Genomic DNA, 23164 nt, shown 5'->3' with positions numbered 1-23164 from the left:
TGTTTAACAACCAACTCTGTGGAATAAAAAGGCCAGGTTTGTAGTGCTTGCCAATACCCATGATGTAAATACTCCCATAATGGCCACAGTAAAATTATCTTCCTTAATGGAACACTGATCATGCAAAATAAAGTCTAAACATCTTAACATGGCCCATGACATCCTTAACCTTGACTTTCCAACTCCACTGCCTACCAAACCCACCTTGCACCCTGGTACTCCAGCCAAATTTTTTGTTGCTTCCCAAACACACTGAGATTTTTCTCATTGCTGTGCTTCTGCTTAGGATGTTCCTCCTTTCTGGAATAGTTGATCCTCTTTTCTGGGCATGAAAAATTCTAAAACTTTCTTAAAGACACAGCTTAAATGTCACCATGAAGCCTTCCTGAAATTCTTCATAGAAGGAACTCTCTCTCCTCTAATAAGCACGTTAATAGTACTTTTATATACCTTTTCTGTCGCAATTATTACAACATAGAAGAATAACTTCTATGTTAGCTTCCCCACTAAACTGTGAGCTTCTTCAGAAAAAAGGAGTTTTATACATACCATTATATCTCTATATGTACCATTATCTTACACATTATTTGGTACATTTTAGGCACAAGTCATTTTTTTTGAATGAATGGTCAAATAACTTATAGCAGATATTCTTTAAGCACTTATTATGTACTAAGCACTTTACATGGACTATTTTGTTTAATTCTCTCCAGAGTCCAATGAGGTAGATACTGTTACTGCAACTTCCCCATGAGGAAACTAAGGCTTAGAGATATGAGTCACACTCAAAGGTCACACAGAAAATAGTGGCGGGACCAGGATTTGACCCAGGACATCTGACTTCGGCTCCTATATTTATACTAAACTGCCTCCCTGCATTGAAAATCTCCTTTTGCTCCAGATATTCAGTGAATCCTTTCTGGCTGTCTGGAATTAGGGATCTACACAGCCAGCTCTTTTTCTGGAAGCCATCTGGGTATCCCATGGAAATTCAACCCACAATCTTAGTTATGCCTTTTGAACTTGGAAAGAAGACCTGCCTAACCCCATCTCAGAAATATTTGGATGTAGGGGAAAAAGGATTCCTCATCCCCAGGATGAAACCCTTTGGGAGAGCTCATTTCTGTCCTTCCAGGGTGGAGCTTTAAGATTTAAAGAGCAAGGCTTAATTAGAGTATTTCCTGGCTGAGTAAATATTAAACTTAAACTCAGCTCTGCCTTTGGCTAGCGAGTCTCAGTTTGAGGCTTGGCTTCCATGTTTCCTCCTGAGTTCCTCATAGAGGAATAGGGGTGGGGAATGAAGTCAAGGAAAGACTGTGGTCTAGGGAACAGAGCGACCTAAGGAGTGCTGATGAGGCAGAGACTGAGTTAACCTGTGCTGCAGATCTGTTACTAAACCCCAAACACACAGTTACTCTTTCCAACAGGTTAAATATTAATCTGTGTCACTGTTCCTTCCGTTGGTCATTAATTAGACTTTTTTTAATACAGTAATTCTGAGATCCACCTGCTAGAAAGGCTACCTTGGGCAAAGCAAGGGCTTTTCCACATTCTAAGAGGCCAGATCCATGGTAGTCACAAAGGAAGGACTCCATACTTCTATGAGGGGATGAAACGTCACTAGAATTAATCCTGTTTTTCTCATTTTAACTGGAACACTGCCCAGAGGACCAAAATAAAAAGTGCAACCTGGATACCAACCCAGTCCATTGCCCTTAGCTCCCACAAAGCAGTCAGACTTTCCAGGGACCTGTACAGTGGGGACTGGGGGCAGGACGAGCTAACCAGGCACTTTATCGGTGTTGCTGTTTTGTAAGAGCTGTTGTATGAACTGATTTGGATCAGCTGTGGGTTCTAAAAGGGTAGAAGCTGTGAAAAGTAGAGAGTAGGAGACTGAACTCACGGACACCATCCCAGGCACAGCTGGTCAAGGAGATTGGCACCTACAGCACTTAGCAGAGAGTGAGCCATCCAACCAGTGTCTATCCACTCTTCTAGGAATGGAACCCTAGTTTTACCCTAGTGAACCACCTTCTCCCCTTGGTTGGGACCATCAATCAAGGTGCCTTGCCCAGTCCCAGCTAAGCAGAAGGTCTCTGACCCAAGCGAGACTATTCAGGTATCTGAATGTTTAGCCAAGTGATAAAATGACTGTTGGAGTTGATTTGGTAAGATATCACTCATCAGTTCTGCTTAGAACACATCTTCCTCTTCCACTCAAACTTCACGATTCCCGTCTGTCCTAATTGTTCAACTTTCCTTTTGATTCTGTGAGTCACCCCACAACCATCAAGTTCATGCCTTTTATATTTGAATTAGCATTTGTTTCTGTTGCTTGACATCTGAAAACCATAACTCATATACTTTGTTGTGTTTATGAGTATGTGTTTAAATATCATCCTCCTTCTACACACACTAAATATTTTTCACTACTGTTTCCCTGCCTATAGTCCACCCATTGGACAAAGTTTGGAAAATATTTTTTTAAAATTCAGACCTAGAGAATAGATGAATATAGGGAATAATCAGTTAAACACAAATTGGTGCCAATCAATTAAGTCTGATTGCTTTCCGTTGCCAAGAGGGAATAAGAGTTTCATTTGGGCAAAAAGGAGGGAAGTCACTGAGATGCTTGGGGGCCTTGGGGAAAAGGAGCAAGCCTGGGTAGTGTCTAGATAAAGCAGCTCGTGAGCACTGCTGCCTGGAGGGGGGTCCAGGAAGAAAAAGACATGAAGAAAAGAAGGTGCAAGGCAAACGCCTTCTTTCTCCTCCTTCCTCCTCCCAGTCCCTGAGTCCTAGCAGCCAGAAATCAGGTTAGGACTATCAGGATAAGAGGGTAGCTTCAACGTAGGCTACACAAGTGTTTGTGGGAAGGCTCGGGACTCTAATGGTCACTTTAATATTGTTTCTACGGCAACATGTTTTTCTACTATCAGGAAAATAACACATCTTCTAGACCTATAATTTTCTAAATGTTCTGCACTCCTGAGATTCCACTCGTTATTTCTGGCATCACTAGTCTATCTGGAAGTCTTGGCATTCTTAACAGCCATTTGTCTGTTGTCTTCCTAAATATTAATATGAACTATTTATATATTGATATCCCTAGAAGGCAGGGATTATCAAAGCTCTGGCCAAATTTGTTTTTGGATCAAGCTGGATAAATCCCAAATCATTCTAGTTAGCAGATACTTCAACACATATAAACACACTAATTATTATATAATGATACCCAGTAAGCAAGGGAAGCTATGAGATCAGTTATAGATAAGCAAAACATACATAAAAATTTGTCCATCAAGAAATTTCTGGGCAATTTTACATTCAAATTTATATAGATTCATGTTTACATATTACTGGAGTCTCCAGCTGTGGCTTTTATTTAGTTCTGGAACACAGATAATAGTCTTAATAGGTCAATTTATGAGCTTTTCAAAGAAACAGTTTCCCAGATCAGACAATACAGATAGCTCTGTCATAGCCACCCCTCATCAGTCATCCATATGAAGATGAAAATAATGTATAGTCAGGACCAGACCTGTCCTGTTAATTAGGTTTCCTGGTTTGTCTTACAGAGTGATCTTCCCAGCATGGCTCTAGGCAATGCTACCTGGGGGTAAGGAGAACAGAAATTTCATTCCTCTCTGACTCACTCACTGCAAAGTCTTGGATAACTAACTAACTCAGGTATCCAGGGCTTTACTTACTTGAGGGATAAGATGGGGATGAGGAAATAAGAATACCAAGTACACACATAATTTGGAGGAATGAAGGAGAGATTAGTGACAATATCTGCAAAGGATTACAAGAAGCCACAAATACTCTCTTTTGGCAGAGGTATTTATAATCTTAAATGTAAATATACTTTACTTTATGTTTTATCCTTTTCTACAAAATCGTCTTTCGACAGACAATTGAGACTTTACTCAAAAGACAGATGATTGAGATTTTAACACCCACATGTTATCAATTCAAAGACACACATACTGTACCATCTCTGGAATACTCTGTCACCCAGGTTGGAGTGCAGTGGCACAATCACTGCAGCCTCGAACTCCCAGGCTCAAGTAATCCTCCCAACTGAGCCTCCCAAGTAGTTGGGACCATAGGTTCACATCACTATGTTTGGTTGCTATTTTCATTATTTTTTTGTAGAGGCAGGATCTCCCTATGTTGCCCAGGCTGGTCTCAAACTCCTGGGCTCAAAGGATCCTCCCACCTTGGCCTCCCAAAGTGCTCAGATTATAGGCTTGAACCACCACACCAAACCCATGTCTTAAAATTGTTATTTTCACATTACTGAACTAGGGATGCACTTTACAATTCATGGGGGATTTTTTTGGTTTTTTGGGTTTTTTTTTTTTTTTTGAGACTGAGTTTCGTTCTTGTTGCCCAGGCTGGAGTGCAATGGTGCAGTCTTGGCTCACTGCAACCTTCACTTCCTGGGTCCAAGCGATTTTCCTGCCTCAGCCTCCTGAGTAGCTGGGATTACAGGCATCCGCCACCATGCCCAGCTAATTTTTGTATTAAGACATCTTAAATTTAATGACAAACAGCATTTCTTCCTTCACATACAGACTTACCTCCTTTGGCCAACTGGTTTACAGAAGGGATTGTGATGACTACTGACTTTGGAGCCCTGAATGTTTGCAAAAGGTTGACACACTTAGAGGCAATGGCAGCACCCCCAAATCAGCAAGGCAGACCCATTTCAAACACAGTTTGATTCGTGTTCTGATAGGGGGACACACAGGATTCTATGAGACCACCTAGTTCAGATGTGGGGTGGGGAAGGGTGGTCAGGAAGACCTCTGGGAGGAAGTGATATCTTAACTGACACTGAAAGAAAGGGTTGATATTATCTAGCACAATACTACCCAAAGTGTCTTTGAAATCTATTTGAAGCCACCTTTGCAATGATTATGACAGTGAGAGAAATCCAGCATAGCTGACTCAATCTTGCTGCTAGCCTCAAGGGCTGGCTCTCCTTGTTCATTCCTGGGCATAGGCTAAGCTAGCCATGGGAAGAATTTAGTTTATAGTTTAACTTTGAAGAAAGGATGATAATAGTCCCTCCCTAAAACTGACTTCCTCCTTGTTTAGGGACTGAAACCACCTTTGTAGGAGTAATGAAAGGCCACAAGATTAGGCTAATGAGAGATGCCTGAATTATGCTAAAATATAGGCATAGTTAAACAATAACCAACCATTGTTTCCCAGCTTGCTTTTCTATAATCCCTTACTGCTCAGGAGTCACGTGGCCAGAATTCACAAGATTTGTGACTTCCCCCATTGCCTCTATAGATAACATCACTATTGTAGAACCTAAGATTGGTCTTTTGAGATGTTTTTCAGATTTTTGCTTTTTTGTGACTGACTGACTTTACCTGGACCTGAGACTGATAACTAAATTTTTCCCATGGTCCTGTGGCTCCCACCCAGAAGCTAATTCAGCATACAAGGACCATTTTCCACGCTCATAATTTCATCCCCAATCAGTGAGCAGAACCCATTCCCCAGCCCTCTGTCTACCAAATTATTCATAAAAATCCTAGCCTCTGAGTTCCCAGGGAGGCTGATTGAGTAATAAGCTCCCAACTTTCCAGCTGGCTAGCTTTGAATTTATTACATTCTTTCTTTACTGCAATACTTCTGTCTCAGTGAATTGGCTTTTCTGTGCAGCAGGCAAGAAAAATCTGTCAAGTGCTTACATATTTGTTACCAGTCTACTGCAAGGTAAGTACAGAAAGTGGCAGTTTAGAAACCTTGATAACATTATACATATATAACAAATTCACACATATAACAAATTCACACATATAACAAATAAGTAATTTTATGTTTATTGAATCTAATAATTTAAAAATTGGGAATGTACTTTATATACCTGTTTTACCTATTTTATTTTCCCAGGTCATTAATTTTATTGCATTTTACAAAAGTAAGTCAGATTGGTTGAGCCCAGGAGTCCAAGACCAGCCTGGGCAATATGGCAAAACCCTGCCTCTACAAAAACAATACAAAAATTAGCCAGGCCTGGTGGCACGTACCTGTAGTTGTAACTACTCAGGAGGCTGAGGCAGGAGAATCGCATGAGCCCAGGAAGCAGAGGTTGCAGTGAACCAAGATCACGCCACCACACTCCAGCCTGAGTGAGAGAACGAGACCCTGTCTCAAAAAAAAGTTGTTTACATTATACTCTAGTCTAGTAAGTATGCAATAGCATTTTGTCTAAAAAACGTACACATTTTAATTTAAAATACTTTATTGCTAAGAAGTGCTAACAATCATCTGAGCCTTCAGTGAATCATAATGTTTTTGCTGGTGGAGGGTCTTACCTCAATGTTGATGGCTGCCGACTGATCAGAGTGGTGGTTGCTGAAAATTGGGGTGGATGTGGCAATTTCTTAAAATCAGATAACAATGAAGTTTGCCACATTGACTGACGCTTCCTTCCATGAAAGATTTATCTGTAGCATGCAATGGTGTTTGATAGCATTTTGCCCATAGTAGAACTTCTTTGAAAATTGGAATCAATTCTGTCAAACCCTGGAGCTATTTTGTTAACTAAGTTTATGTAATATTCTAAATCCTTTGTTGTCATCTCGACAATGCATTCACAGCATTTTCACCAGGAATAGATTATATATCAAGAAACCAACTTTCTTTGTTCATCCATAAGAAACAACTCTTCATTTGTTAAAGTTTTATCATGAGATTGCAGCGATTTCATCACATCTTCAGGGTCCCTTTCTAATTCAAATTCTCTTGCTATTTCTACCACATCTGTAGTTATTTTCTCCACTGAAGTCTTGAACCCCCCTCAGCCATCTATCAGGGTTGGAATCAACTTCTTCCAAACTCCTATTAATGCTGATATTTTGACTTTCCATGCATCATGAATGCTCTTAAGTGCATCTAGAACTGTAAATCCTCTCCAGAATGTTTTTAATTTACTTTGCCCAGATATATCAGAGAAATGTCTATGACAGCTATAGCCTTACAAAATGTATTTCTTGAGTAATAAGTCAAATTTACTCCTTGATCCACGGTCCATGGAATGGATGTTGTGTTAGCAGGCATTAAAACAACATTAATCTCCTTGTACATACCCATTAAGCTCTTGGGTGACTAGGTAAAGTGTCAGTGAGCAGTAATATTTTGAAAGGAATCTTTCTTTCTGAGCAGTAGATCTCAACAGTGGGCTTAAAATATTCAGCTAACCATGCTTTAAACAGATGTGCTGTCATCAGGCTTTGTTGTTCCATTTGTAGAGCACAGGCAGAGGAGTTTTAGCATAATTCTTAAGGGCTCAAAAATTTTCAGAATGGCAATGAGCATTGGCTTCAACTTAAAGTACCCAGATGCATTAACTCCTAGCTATACAGTCAGCCTGTCTTTTGAAGCTTTGAAACCAGGCATTGACTTCTCGTTGGCTACGAAAGTCCTAGATGGCATCTTCTTCCAGTGAAAGGCAATTTCTTCTATTAGGCTGGTACAAAAGTAATTGCAGTTTTTGCCATTGAAAGTCTATTGTTTAGTGTAGCCACCTTCATCTTAGCTAGATCTTCTGGATCACTTGCTGCAGCTTCTACATCAGCACTTGCTGCTTCACTTTGCACTATTATGTTATGGAAATGGCTTCTTTCCTTAAACCTCGTCAATCACCCTTTGCTACCTTCTAACTTTTCTTCTGCAGCTTCCTCACTTCTCTTAGCTTTCAAAGAATTGAAGAGAGTTAGGGCCTTGCACTGGATTATTAGGCTTCGGCCTAAGGGAATGTTATGGCTGGTTTGATCTTCTACCCAGACCACAAAAACTTTCTCCATATCAGCAATAAGCCTGTTTCACTTTCTTATCATTTGTTTGTTTGCTTAAGTAGCCCTTTTAATTTCCCTCAAGAATTTTTCCTTTGCATTCACAACTTGGCTAACTGTTTAGTGTGAGAGGCCTAACTTTTAGCCTTCTCAGCTTTTGACATGTCTTCCTCACTAAGCGTAATCATTTCTAGCTTTTGATTTAAAATGAGAGATATGTGACTCTTCTTTTCACTCAGATACTCAGAGGCCATTGTAGGATTATTAATTAGCCTAATTGCTAATTAGGGAATAGGGAGGCCTGAGGAGAGGAACAGATATGGTGGGGGGGTGGGGGTGGGGGGACAGCCTATTTATGGAGGAGTCAGAAAACTCACACAACATTCAGCAATTAAGTTTGCCATTTTACATGGTCACAGGTCTTGGCACCCCCAAACGATTACCATAGTAACATCAAAGACATGATCACAGATCACCATAATAGATATAATAATAATGAAAAGTTCAAAATATTGAGAAAATTACCAAAATGTGACTCAGAGACATGAAGTGAATCCATGTTGTTGGGAAAATGGCACCGATAGACTTGCTCCACAAAGAGTTGCCCAAACCGTCCATTTGCAAAAAACACAGCATCTGTGAAGCACAATAAAGCAAAAGGTAGTAAAACGAGGCATGCCTATAGGTAGTTTCTTTGGAATTTCCTCCTCGTAAAGACAGAATGATAAAAAGCACCTACCTCACAGAATTATTGTGAGGATTAAATGAGATCACATAGGTAAAGTGCTCAGAACGGTGCCTGGCACACAGCAAGTGCTGTAGGAGCTTTTGCCGTCCTTCCTGTTTTCTGGCTAGAGCCCTGGACTAGAATGTTATGCAGCTCTGGCCCCCGGGTTATTTCTCTGTCAGCTCAGTGATGGGAGTTCATGGGTTCCTACTCCAGGACTCCAGCAGTGTGAGATACAGTCACTCACTCTGTCCCTATTTTCCTTCAGGTTTGTTTGCTTTACGGGATGCTTTACTACAGTCAAATCCTGAGAGAAAGGGCTTTGATTGGTCCAGGTGGTTTCTATCCTTATCCCCATTGGGTGAACTCTGTTGACGGGCCAGCCAATAGATCAGCGGCCCTTTTGTCAGGTCTTCTCCTAGTCCAATCAGCTCTCAGGGGCCACAGAGTGATCAGTGAGGGGTGAGGAATCACCTTGGGCTGCCTCCCTCCTTATGCAGAGGGATTTGTCGGGTGACCCTTAGGACACCTCCAGGACCGGAAGGACTAGAGTTCCCACTGCTGCACCATCAGCCCCCAAGAAGCAACCCACTTTCTTCTGCTTCCTCGGGTGCCGCCAAGAATCATCAGAAGAAGCCAACCCATTGTGTTATCTGAAAGCCAGATTCCAGGAGTTTCTTCCAAAACGCTTATAGAAGGCACCGACAGCAGGGCTGCTTCTCGACTCCCTCTTCCTGGCATAGCTGCAGGCACATTATGTCAGGGGGAACTTTTCCAAAAATTCACATGGAAAATAGCTTTCTTGTAGAAAATAATGTGCTTAAAAGGAGCTTTTATTTTCCCCATTTGCTTAATGCCGCTGGCTTAGCATACTGAAGATTGGGCAGTTTTATAAGTGTTGAGAAGATGAGTTTAGGAATCCTGAGTGATAGTATCTGGACTTCATGCTGATGGTTGCAAATGTTAGGACATCTGCAACGTATCAGGCCCTAAGTGAAGCAGACGCGTCGCAGCACCTGCCTGATAGAAGTCTTCCAGCATTGGGACATCTGGGACTGGGTTCTGCTGACACCACATACATTTCATATCTCTATAAAGCCCTGCCCTGTGGAGAGCTCTTGAAAGGAATAAAGACCAGGAAGCCACATAAAATGTGAGCTCCAGCTTCTGTTAGCCAAGACTGAGAAAGGAAGCAAGCAGAAACAGAGAGTCCAAAACAGACAAGGCACAACATAATGAACTTATCGAGAGACAGGGCTAATATCTAATAATGGACTAGAGAGTTCATCCATCCACCTGTCCAGGACATGATTCCCACATAATGAACCCCACATACCAGGCTGCATTATAGCATTTCTACAGTTCAACAATTAAGGTGTTGAAAATTATAATCTCCATTTCTTGGTCTAGGGTAATCTTCTGACTTCGTTTAGTTTCTGCATGGAAGTTAGGAGATAGAGAAGTGGGGAGAAAAATGTATGTGCTTCCCAGACAGCATTTGGAGAAAGGAAGGTGGAAGTTTGAATTGGCAATGCAGAAAGCTGGAAAAGGTGCATTGTGGTTCCTGAAGCTGCAGGAGTGAGGACCATGTCAAAGACATGGGGGCACCCAGGTGGAAGCACATGCCCACCTCCCATTTCCTAGGAGAAAACAAGTCAGATAGAACAGAGAAGGTGCACACAACCAGCTCTGGCACATTATAAAACTTTTGCCTCAGTTCTATTTTTTTCTGTGACCATGTAACGATCATAAAGATCTATCAGGATAGAAAGTCAAGTAAAACAAACTATGTGCCCTCTCAGCTGCCCAAATGTCTTAATCATGCTAGGCCTCTGCTTACACCGGCTCTCCTTCCAGCACCATCGATGCCACTCCAATCACATCAATCTCTTTACCGCCCCTCATCAAGCCATAGTTTCCCGTGTATTTTTCCCATTTGTGTGCACTGCTTCTTCTGCCTGGAATGCTTCTCCCTGCCTTTTCCACACCCCCAGGCCTCAACCAAAGTATTTTGTTTTTCTGAGAAATGTCTTCTGATGGTCCCTTTCACCTCTCCATTTCGGTCATTGTTTGCATGTAGCACGTACTGCTAGCTAGCCCCTAAAATCCATTCTCCCTGGCCGGGCGCCGTGGCTCACGCCTGTAATCCCAGCACTTTGGGAGGCCGAGGCAAGTGGATCATGAGGTCAAGAGATCGAGACCATCCTGGCCAACATGGTGAAACCCCGTCTCTACTAAAAGTACAAAAATTAGCAGGGCGTGGTGGCGGGCAACTGTAGTCCCAGCTACTCGGGAGGCTGAGGCAGGAGAATTGCTTGAACCCGGGACATGGAGGTTGCAGTGAGCCAAGATCACACCACTACACTCCAGCCTGGCAACAGAGCAAGACTCTGTCTCAGAAAATAAATAAATAAATAAATAAATAAATAAATAAATAAATAATCCATTCTCCCTGTTCTCCATAACAATGGGGAAGTAGCTAAATACATGGCCACCCTACCACAGACTGACTTTCCCACACCACCCCCACTCTCAGCTTGCAGCTCTGTGTGACCGTGTGGGGAACGTGAGCAGATGTGATTTGTGCCACTCCCACCTCACTGCATTGCTTTTCTGCTCTCTGTCCCCTTCCTGTGAGCTGGAACATGGATGTATTATGAAACCCAGTGCTCACCATTGCATCAGTGAGCTAGCACTAGGTAACAAGCCACCCTAAAACCCAGGCTTAAAACAAGAATCATTTCTTCTCTTGGAGAGTTGGCTAAGTGCCTTTGCTTCAAGCTATGGGTCTGGCAGGGCCTGACTCTTGCTGGGGTTGAGTTCTGATCTGTTCCACAAGTGTTCATTTTGAGACCCAAGCTGAAGGGGCAGCAGCTACCTAGGGCAACTTCTTACTGTGATGGCAGGGATGGCAGAGGGTGAGCCTAGCTGTGCAGGCACATGTCAAAATTCTGCTTGAGCCACACTTGCTCCCAACCTTGCCTTGGCCGAAGCAAGTCACATGGTGGAGGCCAAATTCAAGAGGAGGAGCACAAAACATCTTTTATAGAGGTTTAGGGGAGGAAATAACTATTTTTGAGCAATAATCTAATCTACCTCAGTCATGCAGAGAAGGACAAAGTCTTTGGGTGGAAGGGGAGCAATATGGATTCCTCAATGACTGTGTACGCCATCCTGCCTACCCACCCTCACTGTTAGGCAAGATAAATGAATTCATTGTTTCTTTAAGCCACAGAATTGTTGGGTCTGTTTGTTAAAGCTGCTTAGCCTTTTACCCTGAGGAATGTAACATGGTTTCCACTATAGCACATATTATTTGTTCTTTCTTTGGTTTGTTTTTCTTTTCCTAGTAGAAGTTTTTTGCTTGTTTTTTTTTTTTTTTTTTTTTTTTGTATGCTTGTTTGTTTTTGAGATAGGGTCTTGCTGTCGCCCAGGCTGAAGTGCAGTGGCACAATCAGGGCTCACTGCATCATCAACTTCCCCTGCTCAAGTGATCCTCCCACTTCAGCCTCCCAAGTAGCTGTGACTACAGGCATGTGCCACCACACCCAGCGATTTTTTTATTTTAGTAGAGATGAGGTCTTGCTATGTTGCCCATGCTGGTCTCAAACTCCTGAGCTCAGACAATCCTCCTGACTCAGTCTCCCAAAGTGCTGGGATTACAGGCATGAGCCACCATGCCTCGCCAGAAATTCCTTGAAATCAACAATTACGTCTTAATTAATTTTTGAATCCCTAGACCTACCATAGGATCTATTGTAGAGTGAGTGAATATTCAGTGAAAGTTTGCTAACTGATCAAATGAATTTCCTATTTTCTATTACTTTCACTTGGAAATAAATATGTGTTTAAAAAAGCGTTGCTTGCCGTAGTTATGAAAATAACAAAAGCACATTACAGGACCTAGATCATGGGTATCCAACATTTTGGCTTTCCTGGACCACATTGGAAGCAGAAGAATTGTCTTGGGCCACACATAAAATATGCTAACACTAACAATAGCTGACATGCATAAATAAATAAATACATAAATACATAAATAAAATAATTGGCTGGGTGCGGTAGCTCACACCTGTAATCCCAGCACTTTGGGAGGCCAAGGTGGGCAGATTACCTGAGTTCAGGAGTTTTAGACCAGTCTGGCCAACATGGTGAAACCCCATCTCCATTAAAAATACAAAAATTAGCTGGGCATGGTGGCGTGTGCCTACAGTCCCAGTACTTGGGAGGCTGAAACAGGAGAATTGCTTGAACCCCAGAGGCAGAGGTTGCAGTGAGCTGAGATTGTGCCACTGCACTCCAGCCTGGGTGACAGAGCAAGACTCTGTGCGTAATTTTCGTGATTTCCTCCACAGAAATAAGCAAAAAATCCTTGCCTTCAAAGGGTTGGACATGGTTGCCCTAGATGCTAACTTCCTCAAAATGTATAGATGATATGCAGATATGTGATTCCTCACAAGGAAAGCGGCTTCAGGAGGACATTCATTCATTTATCTAGTCATTGCATAAATACTTACTTAGTGCCTACCCTAAGCCTGGCACCAATCTAGGATGAGGACGGATATAGCAGTGAACAACCAAGACTCCTCAGGAAGCTCACATTTTAGGGGAGAAAGAGAGAGATGATAAATACATAAGTGAAAGATCAAGCAGACTGAATGGAGGTGTCAGAGAATTGGGGAAGGATGGAACTCTCAGTGATGATAACATTTGAACAAAGACCTAAGGAGGTGATGGAACCATATATTGCTATCTGAGAGAGAGCTTCTGGATAGATGGACTGTCAAGTATAGAAGCCCCGGGTGGGAGCCACCCTAGTTGTGTTCAAGAAACAGCGAGGATGCTACTACGGCTGGAGCACACAAGGGGGAGAGTGGTAGAAAATGTCCTTGGATATTGAATTTAGCAAAGAAGGCAGAAAAAGCCCAAATAGGTTTGACCAGCTAGGGGATTCTTAACACGTATTTAGTCAATGAACATTCAAACAACAGGTTTCTGTGGCTGTCCATGGTTGTGAAATCCATAGTGTTGAAGTAGTACTTGTCTTTGCCTAAGTGTCTTTGTGACAGTGTCTTTGTGCAGTGCTCAGGAATCAGGTGCCCATAGCTTAAACCCATTGATATCCTTGGGTTCAGCTGGGTGCAGTGGCTCAGGCCTGTAATCCCAGCACCTTGGGAGGCTGAGGCGGGTGGATCACCTGAGGTCAGGAGTTCGAGACCAGCCTGGCCAACATTGTGATACCCTGCCTCTACTAAAAATACAAAAATTAGCCGGGCATGGTGGTGGGCGCCTGTAGTCCCAGCTACTCAGGAGGCTGAGGCAGGAGAATTGCTTGAACCTGGGAGGTGGAGGTGGCAGTGAGCAGAGATCATGCCATTGCACTCCAGCCTGGGTGACAGAGCAAGACTCTGTCTCAAAAAAAAAAAAAAAAAAAAGATAGCCTCAAGTTCATTTGTCCACGCTCCTTCTCCAAAAGATAAGTTGGGAAAATTAATATCAATTCTCAATCAACATCAAGTTCAAGATGATCTTTGAGGTGTAGTTTTCAGCAGATTAATGACAGGCATTCCCGCCTCTTCCCCATCGCTAGGAGCTAGATGGCACTGAACAGGAGAGATGGGATATTAGCATATTCCCAGCTGCCTCTCTGCGAATCTGTATTGGCCACACATGTCTTCACTTAGTTTCAAGCCCACGTGCCCCTCTCTGCCCCACCCTTGCTCCCACCCCATTCTTTTTCCTTTTCAAAGAAAAGCCATAGCCATGTTATAATTGTTGCTTTTCTGTTGGAGAAGCGATATTATAGATTGGGTAGAAAATGTTCAAACAGAATTTAAAAAATTGAAAGCTTCTGAACATACTGTCTTAACACAGCCTCTTGAGACCTATTAACTGACTAGAAAGGAAGGAAATTAGCAATGGGAAGGTGGAGTTGAGTGCAGTTTCTCCTGCCTTTTTATATATTCTAGATGGAATTGCTGGGATAATAAAAGTTAAATATTCTAGGGTAATTGCCATTCCAGTCAATCCTATAAAAATATCATCAGAACTAGGGTTCTGACGTTGTTCCAGATATGGTAAATACCAGAACAGAGGAGGAATTTGGGAAAGGGTGAGCACGCCCTTTGCTGGATTTTGACCTGTTTGTTATCTGTTGTTATGGATTCTTCAGTGTTCAAATCAGTCTTTCGACTCAGAACTCTGAATCACAGGTCTCTAGATTCCCCAAAGAGAAACAGCCCCATTCCTTGTGATGTATTAGCCTAGTAAATTATAATTTTATTTGTTCTATTAAGCAGCTGAAGTTCAGCACATTTTTATTCATTTTGTACAATAGGCATTAAATGATTCTGAATGCCAGGCACCTAATCAGATTAAGAAAATCTTCATGTTGGCCAAAGGTTTATGCTTTTATACTGCAGTAAATTCCCCCATCATCTAATTCTTTCTACTCTACCCCAGCTCAGGGAAGACAGCAAAGCAACCCAAGGCTTTCAGAGACGCCTCCTCATACAAGGCCTTATCAGGTGCTCCCCTCTCCTCTCCAATCTTTCATATTGCTAGTGAGGGTAGGAGAATGGGCCCAGTTACACAAGATTAAAATGGAGACTTAATTGACCGGGCGTGGTGGCTCATGCCTGTAATCCCAGCACTTTGGGAGGCTGAGGCAGGTAGATCACCTGAGGTTGGGAGTTCGAGACCAGCCTGACTAACATGAAGGAAACAATGTCTCTACTAAAAATACAAAATTAGCCAGGTGTGGTGGCACATGCCTATAATCCCAGCTACTTGGGAGGCTGAGGCAGGAGAATCGCTTGAACCCAGGAGGCAGAGGTTGCAGTGAGCCGAGATCACGCCATTGCACTCCAGCCTGGCAACAGGGCGAGACTCTGTCTCCAAAAAAAAAAGATTTTACTTTCTCCTTCCACTCAAGAAAAGATCCTAGGTGGATGCATAACAGAGCAGGCACTGTTGAAATCCCTTGAGTTGAACCATGAGACTTCTGAGGGGCTGGCCCCGGTCCCTGGGAGGATGTGGGAACAGTGCGAGCTGGGGCACCCATGCTAAGCTGAGTCCCTTTGGTGATGGGCTATGCATGAGGCCACAGGATTTGGAGAACTGAGCTTGGCCATGAGCACCAGCCAATGACCCCACACTAGGGGATTAGGGAAGTGAGGCAGGCAAGATGGAAGCAAGGGGAATGGGCTAACCCCGGGCAAACTTTATAGCCACATGCCAGCCAAGCCTACCTGCACTCATTCTTCCTATGTTAAAATCTTTATAGGGATCCTACACACTCATCTGTTTCTATAGTTTTGCATATTGGGTAGTCTAACTTTATTCCTTGGTGGATTCCCTTTAGAAAAATCCAATTTTATCTTAGATTTATGTCACACTGTCTGTTTTGGCTACTTCGGTGCTGGTGACAGATTCCAGGAACCAGCTAGCCTTGTCCCACCTCTTAGTCAGGGTGTATGAAGGGCAGGGGGTGGTGGTGGGAAGCAACAAGAACACCAGCTCATATTGTATAGCATGGCCTCATATTTTATCACATTTAACCCTTACAACACTGTAAAATAAATATGATGGCCCCTATTTTACAAATGAGGAAACTAAATATAGAGATTTAGAGAAATAAATAGACCACAGATTCCAGGTAAAGCCCAGGGGCATTGGGTCTGATAATGAGGTGAAACCAGAAGGAGGTATTATAGGTTGAATTTGTGTTCCCCACAAAAAGACATATTGAAGCCCTAACCCCTGCTCCCTAGAATGTGATCTTATTTGGAGACAGGGTCTTTACAGATGTCATCAAATTACAATGAGGTCATTAAAGTGAGCCCTAATCCAATATGACTGGTGCCCTTATAAAAAGGGGGAATTTACTCCGGGCGCAGTGGCTCACACCTATAATCCCAGCACTTTGGGAGGCCGAGGCAGGCAGATCACAAGGTTGGGAGACCGAGGCGAGGCCATCCTGGCTAACACAGTGAAACCCCATCTCTAACAAAAATACAAAAAATTAGCCACACATGATGGTGGGCGACCGTAGTCCCAGCTACTCGGGAGGCTGAGGCAGGAGAATCGCTTGAACCCGGGAGGCAGAGTTTGCAGTGAGCCGAGATGGCACCACTGCACTCCAGCCTGGGCAACAGAATGAGACTCTGTCTCAAAAAAAAAAAAAAAAAAAAGGTGGTGGTAGAATTTGGACACGGAGATCAACACCCATAGAGGGAAGACAATGTGAAGAGGCCCTGGGAGAAGGAGAGAGGTGTGGAGCAGATCCTTCCTGCACAGCCCTTGGGAGGAACCAATGCTCCTGCACCTTGATCTTCACCCTCCAGCCTGCAGCACTGTGAGGTAAAAACCTTCTGTTGTTTAAGCCACCCAGTTTGTGGCGTTTTGTCACGGCAGCCCTAGAAAACTAATGCAGGAGGGAAAGAATGGTGGGAATGTGGACACGGATCCTCCATCTTGGGAAGGGCAGGATGTGGACATCGTTGGGGAAACTTCCCAGCCTCCCAGCCACAGGGCTCAGCTCGGATCACCAGCCAGCACCCTGAGGGAGACTGCACAGGTGGCTCTGAGTTTCACATGGATGAAACGGTTGCCACCCTGGGAGGGAACTCCAGCTTGAGTGACAGCCCCAGGAGCCCCCTTGTACCTGAAAGGTGCTGGCCATTGTGGGCACAAGGACATAAAAGTGAACTGCATGAGGGAGGGGTGGGTGTGCTGGCGCAGACTTGACCGTGCATCTTGGCCTCCTGCCCTATGACTCCATCCCTTCCCTCACTCCAACTGCCTGGGATCACTTCCCAAATAAACTGGCATGAAATGCGGCTATTCTGAATTGAGCTGTGCTAGAAATAAAAAATATGCACCACGTTTCAAAGAATGAACAAAGAACACAAAATCCCTCCTCATATTAGTTTTCCAGGGCTGCTGCAACAACCACAAATTCGGTAATTTAAAATGATAAAAGCTTATTCTCTCCCAGTTCTGGAGGCCAGAAGTCTGAAACCAAGATGTTAACAGAGCCTCCTAATTCTTGGACGCCCCCAGGAATTCCCTGGCTTGTGGCTGCATAATTCCCATCTCTGCCTCTGTCTGCACTTGGCCTTTACCTCTCTGTCTCTGTATTTCCTCCTCTTCTCTTATAGGGACACTTGTCATTGGACTTAGGGCCCACTCTGATAATCCAGGATGATGTCACCTTGAGATCCTAAATTTAATTACATCTGCAAAGACCCTTCTTCCAAATAAGGTCACATTCACTGGTTCCAGGGGTTAGGACATGGACACAACTTTTGAAGGACCACATTTCAACCCATTATACTCCTTAACATATATATATATATTTTATGTTGACCACATGTCACATTAGTTTACTAGGACTGCCATAACGAAATACCACTGATTGGCTGGCTTAAACAACAGGAATATATTTTCTCACATTTTGATTATGTTGGGTTAAATGCAATCTACTATTTACTCTTGAATTAAAAAGGAAGGCTGGGGGCATCTTAAACACTCCTTCACAAATTTGCCCAGGGTCTACCCTTATGTTTCCCATTGCCCGCTCTCCTCCCCAAACCCTGACCAGGGCAAGGGCTGTTAATGGGAAAACTTGGGATCTGGGTTTCTGGGCAGTTTTGAGGAGCACCTGGAAAAAGGAAGCTAGGGAGAAGGTCCTGGTGCTGTTATTACTGAGGAGCTTTCCAGGACAGAAAAAGGATACCTAATAACTTGAATGTAAGTACATGTTGTGCAACCACGACTTCACTCCAAATGCACCCTGTATCTGCACGTCTTGAGTGAAGTCTACCACACACCCACATGTCTTATATGAGCAGTTTCCTTAAAGAAATCAAGGAAAGAGTCTGGTTGGCATGGGCTGAAGAGGAGAGCAGCCAGAGGTGGGGTGTGTGTGAGCCCAAGGCCAGCTGGAGGAGGCCTTGGAACCACAAGTGGCCATGAAAGCCCTGAAGCTTTGCAAAGATCTTTGGGAGGAGGCCTCCGACTTCCCACAGGATGTGTGACAGGGGCTCGAGTTAATTTTATTTTAAATCTCAAAGGACAGGGTGACGTCAACTGACATCTGGGTTGCACTTGTTATCAAGGAGTTGAAATGAAGACAGAGGAGGCATGCTTATCAGATTTGTGGAGGACAGGAAGCTGAAAGGAACAGCAAACACCCAATTACAATCCCCAAAAGTCTCAACAAGCTAGAATGCCAGCCTGAATTTAATAAGAGAAAACTTAATAAGGATGAGGGAATGTCCTGCACTTGAGAAAAATAAATAAATAAACCAAAATAAAACAAACTGTCCATGCAAAACACATGAAAATGGGTCAGGGGTTTAACTCAGATGAGGGCACCTGAAAAGCTGAATTTGAAGCTGTTCTGATAGAAAAATGAGATGCAAAGGAGGGAATAGGTAATCAGTTCCATTTTTCCTGGTTAGACCCCTGGAATATCAACTTCAGGTCTGCCTACCGTCCAGTTAGAAGGATGCAAACCAGAGTGCATTCAGAGAATAAATGGCTAGCGTGATTCACACAACCCCGGACTGCATAATGTAGGAATAGTGCTGTTTAGCTGGAGAAGACAAGAGTATTAGTCCATTTTGCATTGCTAAAAAGGGATACGTGAAACCAGGTAATTTATAAGGAAAGAAGATTTATTTTGGCTCGCAGTTTTGCAGACTGTACAAGAAGGATGGCACCAGCATCTGCCTCTGGAGTGAGGGCCTCAGGAAGCTTACAATCATGGTGAAAGGCAAACAGGGAACGGGTGTGTCACATGGTGAGGAGAAAGCAAGACAGAGGAGGAAATCCCAGACTCTTTTTAACAATCAAATCTCACATGAAGGGAAGGCATTGCCACTGGGAGGGCACACCAAGCTGTTCATGAGGGATCCGCCCCCATGAAGCAAATACCTCCCACCAGGCTCCACCATGACCTCCAACATTCGGGATCACATGTCAACATGAGATTTGGAGGGGACAAACATCCAAACCATATCAATAAGCTTCAGAGTGACTCAAGAATTCTCTATAAACATCTACAATTCTCCTGCATGGAGAAAGACTGGGCTTGTCATGTCTGGCTCTGAGGAGTGAACTCAGGACAGTGAGTGGATACTTCAGGGAGAAATTGGAGTAATGTATAATGAAGAAACCCGATGTGCCCATTAGTATTGATTTAACTGTAAGTAACAGAAAACCTGATTAATAATGACTTAACCAAAGAAAAATTTTTGCCACTTAAAAAGAAGCCTAGAAGTAACCTGTGGTTAAGGCTCTCCAACCTTCTTCTCCACCATCCTCAGTGTTGGCCTCATCCTTCTGTCTGTGGCCTCATGGTCACAAGATGGCTGCTGAAGTTCTAACAGCACAAGTCTGCACTCAAAGTGAGGGAGGAGGGTGACAGCGAGAGGGTAGCCAAGGTAGCAAAGAGGACCTTTTCCTTAATGGTGCTATCATTTTGTCAGAAAAGAAAATAACTGGGCCAGGCAAAGCAGCAGCTCATGCCTGTAATCCTATCCCTTTGGGAGCCCAGGGTGGGTGGATCACCTGAGCCCAGGAGTTCAAGACCAGCCTGGGCAACATGGCAGAAACTTGTCTCTACACACAATACAAAAATTAACCAAGTGTGGTGGCGAGCGCCTGTAGTCCCAGCTACCGGGGAGGCTAAGGTGGAAGGATTACTTGAGTCTAACACTTCAAGGTTGCAGTAAGCTGTGATTGGGCCAGTGCACTCCAGCCTGGGCAACAATGGGATCCTGTCTCAAAAGAAAAAAAGAAAAGAAAATAATTTCTCAGATGTCCTTGTATATTTCATTGGCCACACTGGGTTATATGGCCAGTTCTGGCTGCAAGAGAGGCTAGAAAAAAACTATCTGCTTTTCCAGCCTATACAATAGAAGATTAGCAAGGATAAGGAGATGGCTTTTCAGTTGCCCCCAACAGTGTCTACCACAACAAAGTTACCTGTGATTCAACCCACAGATTAGCTTAGTCTTTTTTTTTTTTTTTTGAGACAGGATCTCACTGTGTTGCCCAGGCTGGAATGCAATGGCATGACCAAAGCTCACTGCAGCCTCAGACTCTTGGGCTCCAGTGATCCTCCCACCTCAGCCTCCCAATGCCACGTGCCATGATGCCTGGCCAATTTTTTAATTTTTTGTAAATGTGGGGTCTTGCTTTTTTGCCCAGGCTGGTCTTCAACTCCTGGTCTCAAATGATCCTCCTGCCTCATCCTCCCAAAATGCTGGGATTACGGGCATGAGCCACCACATCCAGCCTGGCTTAGTCTTTCTAATGCAAATATACATATGTTTCTATAAGCACATATACCCATACACAAATTTTCACAAATGTGGAATTATGTATTATAAATAGTTTTAGTTCCTGGTTTTCTCACTTAGCATTTATAGTATCTTTACATATCATTTTCAAATTCCTTGAAGATATTATTTTCAGCAGCTGCATAATATCCCACATGGACATTACACATTCAACCATTCCCCTACTTTTGGACATGTAGCACTTTCTAGCTATCGTCTCCAGAGACAGACTGCTATGGAAGTTATTGAGTTGCCCACCCCTGGAAGTATTCCACTACAGGTATGGAATAGATAGCATACCAGTATCGGGTAGGTTACTGGACTGTATGACATTTCAAGCCCTTCCCTGCCTCAAGATGCTGATGATAGGGTTTAAAGAGATGGAGGTCGTTAGGGAGGATCACTGTGCCCTGACCAACTACACCTTCATCTCTGTTTATCTTCCCTTTGCCTGCTCCTGAGCACACAAGCTGTATACAACATTCCTACTCCAGATACCCTCAAGGTCAGCCCCTCACAGTGCCTGCCATACCTCTTCCTCACAACCTTCTATCAACAGAAAGAACCTGAATCACTCTTGACTTGCCTTAAAATTGCTGCAATGAAGACAGCAGCACCTCTGGCTCTTATCACTGGGGACACACTTGAGAATCAGCTTGAAGGACCCAAACCTGAAGAGAGGGGCTGAGTATGGAAGGAGCTTGAGACACCAAGAGTGATGACAACATTGCAGTGGTGCTGTTCTGCTGCCTCTTGCTGCTACGAAGGCCTATTTGTGGCTTTCCAGCGTGCCTCCAGGACAGGCGGGGGACAGGGACGACGACTCATCTCCAGGATCAGCACACACCTCTGAGGTCACTTAGGTGAGCTGGATAGTGGAGTGAGTGAGACATGTCAGCATATCCTTGGGTTAGTGTGCTAGGGGTTCCAGATGCAGGAGTAGTGCTAGGGACAAGACAGATACCTGCCTTATCAGCACAGAGCTTGATATCAGCCTTTTGCTATACACAGTTATGTTCAGGGGCTGTGATCTGACCTAAGGCTGTCTGAATCTAAATTTGCCTTCTGTGGAACTGATATGCATTTATTCTCTTGAACAGGGTCAATAAGCCAAGCCTACAACTCAAATATTAGAATTTAACACAAAGGTTTTTGACAGAAGCAACCTGCAAGATGACCACCCAATGACAAAATATATATATATATATATATATATATATATATATATATATATAGCCATCAACAACTTTTGCAAGAGAACCACCCAATGACAAAAAAAAAAAAAGCCATCAACAACTTTATCAGTGTATTCTCAGCTATATGGAGCTTAACTCATTCCTCTATAGTATCTTGCTCCTTTAAGTGGTTACAGGGAACAAATATTTAAGGTCAAATAACTTTGGTCAACTTTAGTGATATAATATTGCTTGCTGCGATAATTTGGTCTTTTTTCTAAAATGGAACTCTCTTTGCCTGGGGGTTGTATTGTATTAGAAAGGTCACACAGTTTGCAAGAGCAAGCAGCCCCAAAGTTGATTTTCTTGCCTATGAGGGCATTGTGTCTATGAGGAACATCCCACAACACAATCTTGTCTGCACTGATACCCACGAGGGGCCAGAGCACAAGATCTGAGCAGAGGATCTCATTTGTGTCTCAGCTCTGCCAACAATTCCCGCAAAAGCATGTCTCCTAGTTTCTTTATTACTTAATTTCTCCAGGTACAGGTCGTTATGTGAAGTCCTTGAACCTGGCCACCAGATGGGGAAACTCATAACATTCTTACTAGTAACAGCTGCCCTTTTCCCCTAGATTAGTATCAGAGAAAGCCTCTTACAATATTATTGTAATTTTGGACTAGGAACAAGTCTCATCCTTGTGTGAATCACAAGTCTTTTAAAATTCTACCGATTCTAAATTTTAGAACAGAACAAGATGTGTCTAATCTTGGTGAAGCATAAGTTTGAAAAGATGTTAAATATCCTGCTTATATTCTCTATTGCAAACTCTCATAAGATGCAGAACATTGTATAAGTCAACCTGCTGGCTTCTAGCACTGGACAGACCAAATCCCTGGCCTCCAGGAACTTTCAGCATGGAGGAGAAACCAACTGAACAAATTATTAATGTGGGTATTAAGAGAGAAAGAAAAAGGCATGCAGAGGTTACATGTATTTTTGAACAGCTATAATAGACACATCTGGGATATCTCTCCAGCCCACAGTGACCTGCTTTCTCTGAGAACTACCTCCTCCCACAGCTATGGCATCCA

General features: G+C 43.3%; 1 long non-coding RNA gene across 6 annotated transcripts in view; it reads right to left on the bottom strand.

Moving 5' to 3' along the window:
* Positions 1–6050: 6050 nt before the first annotated feature.
* The window catches only part of LOC107985960 (uncharacterized), a 119748-nt gene continuing 102634 nt past the window's right edge, over positions 6051–23164 (bottom strand). For 5 of the 6 annotated variants that reach the window (XR_001739775.3, XR_007087297.1, XR_001739776.2 and 2 more), the window contains 2 exons: positions 8343–8453; positions 6110–6148 (listed from right to left, as the gene is read on the bottom strand). This is a non-coding gene — a long non-coding RNA (uncharacterized LOC107985960). Of the gene's footprint in view, positions 6149–8342; positions 8454–23164 lie in introns of all 6 variants that reach the window. The other variant, XR_001739773.3, reaches the window with a different exon arrangement.

This window comes from Homo sapiens, chromosome 2 (genome assembly GCF_000001405.40).
Source record: "Homo sapiens chromosome 2, GRCh38.p14 Primary Assembly".
NCBI lineage: Eukaryota > Metazoa > Chordata > Mammalia > Primates > Hominidae > Homo > Homo sapiens.
This window is presented reverse-complemented; position numbering and strand designations above follow the sequence as displayed.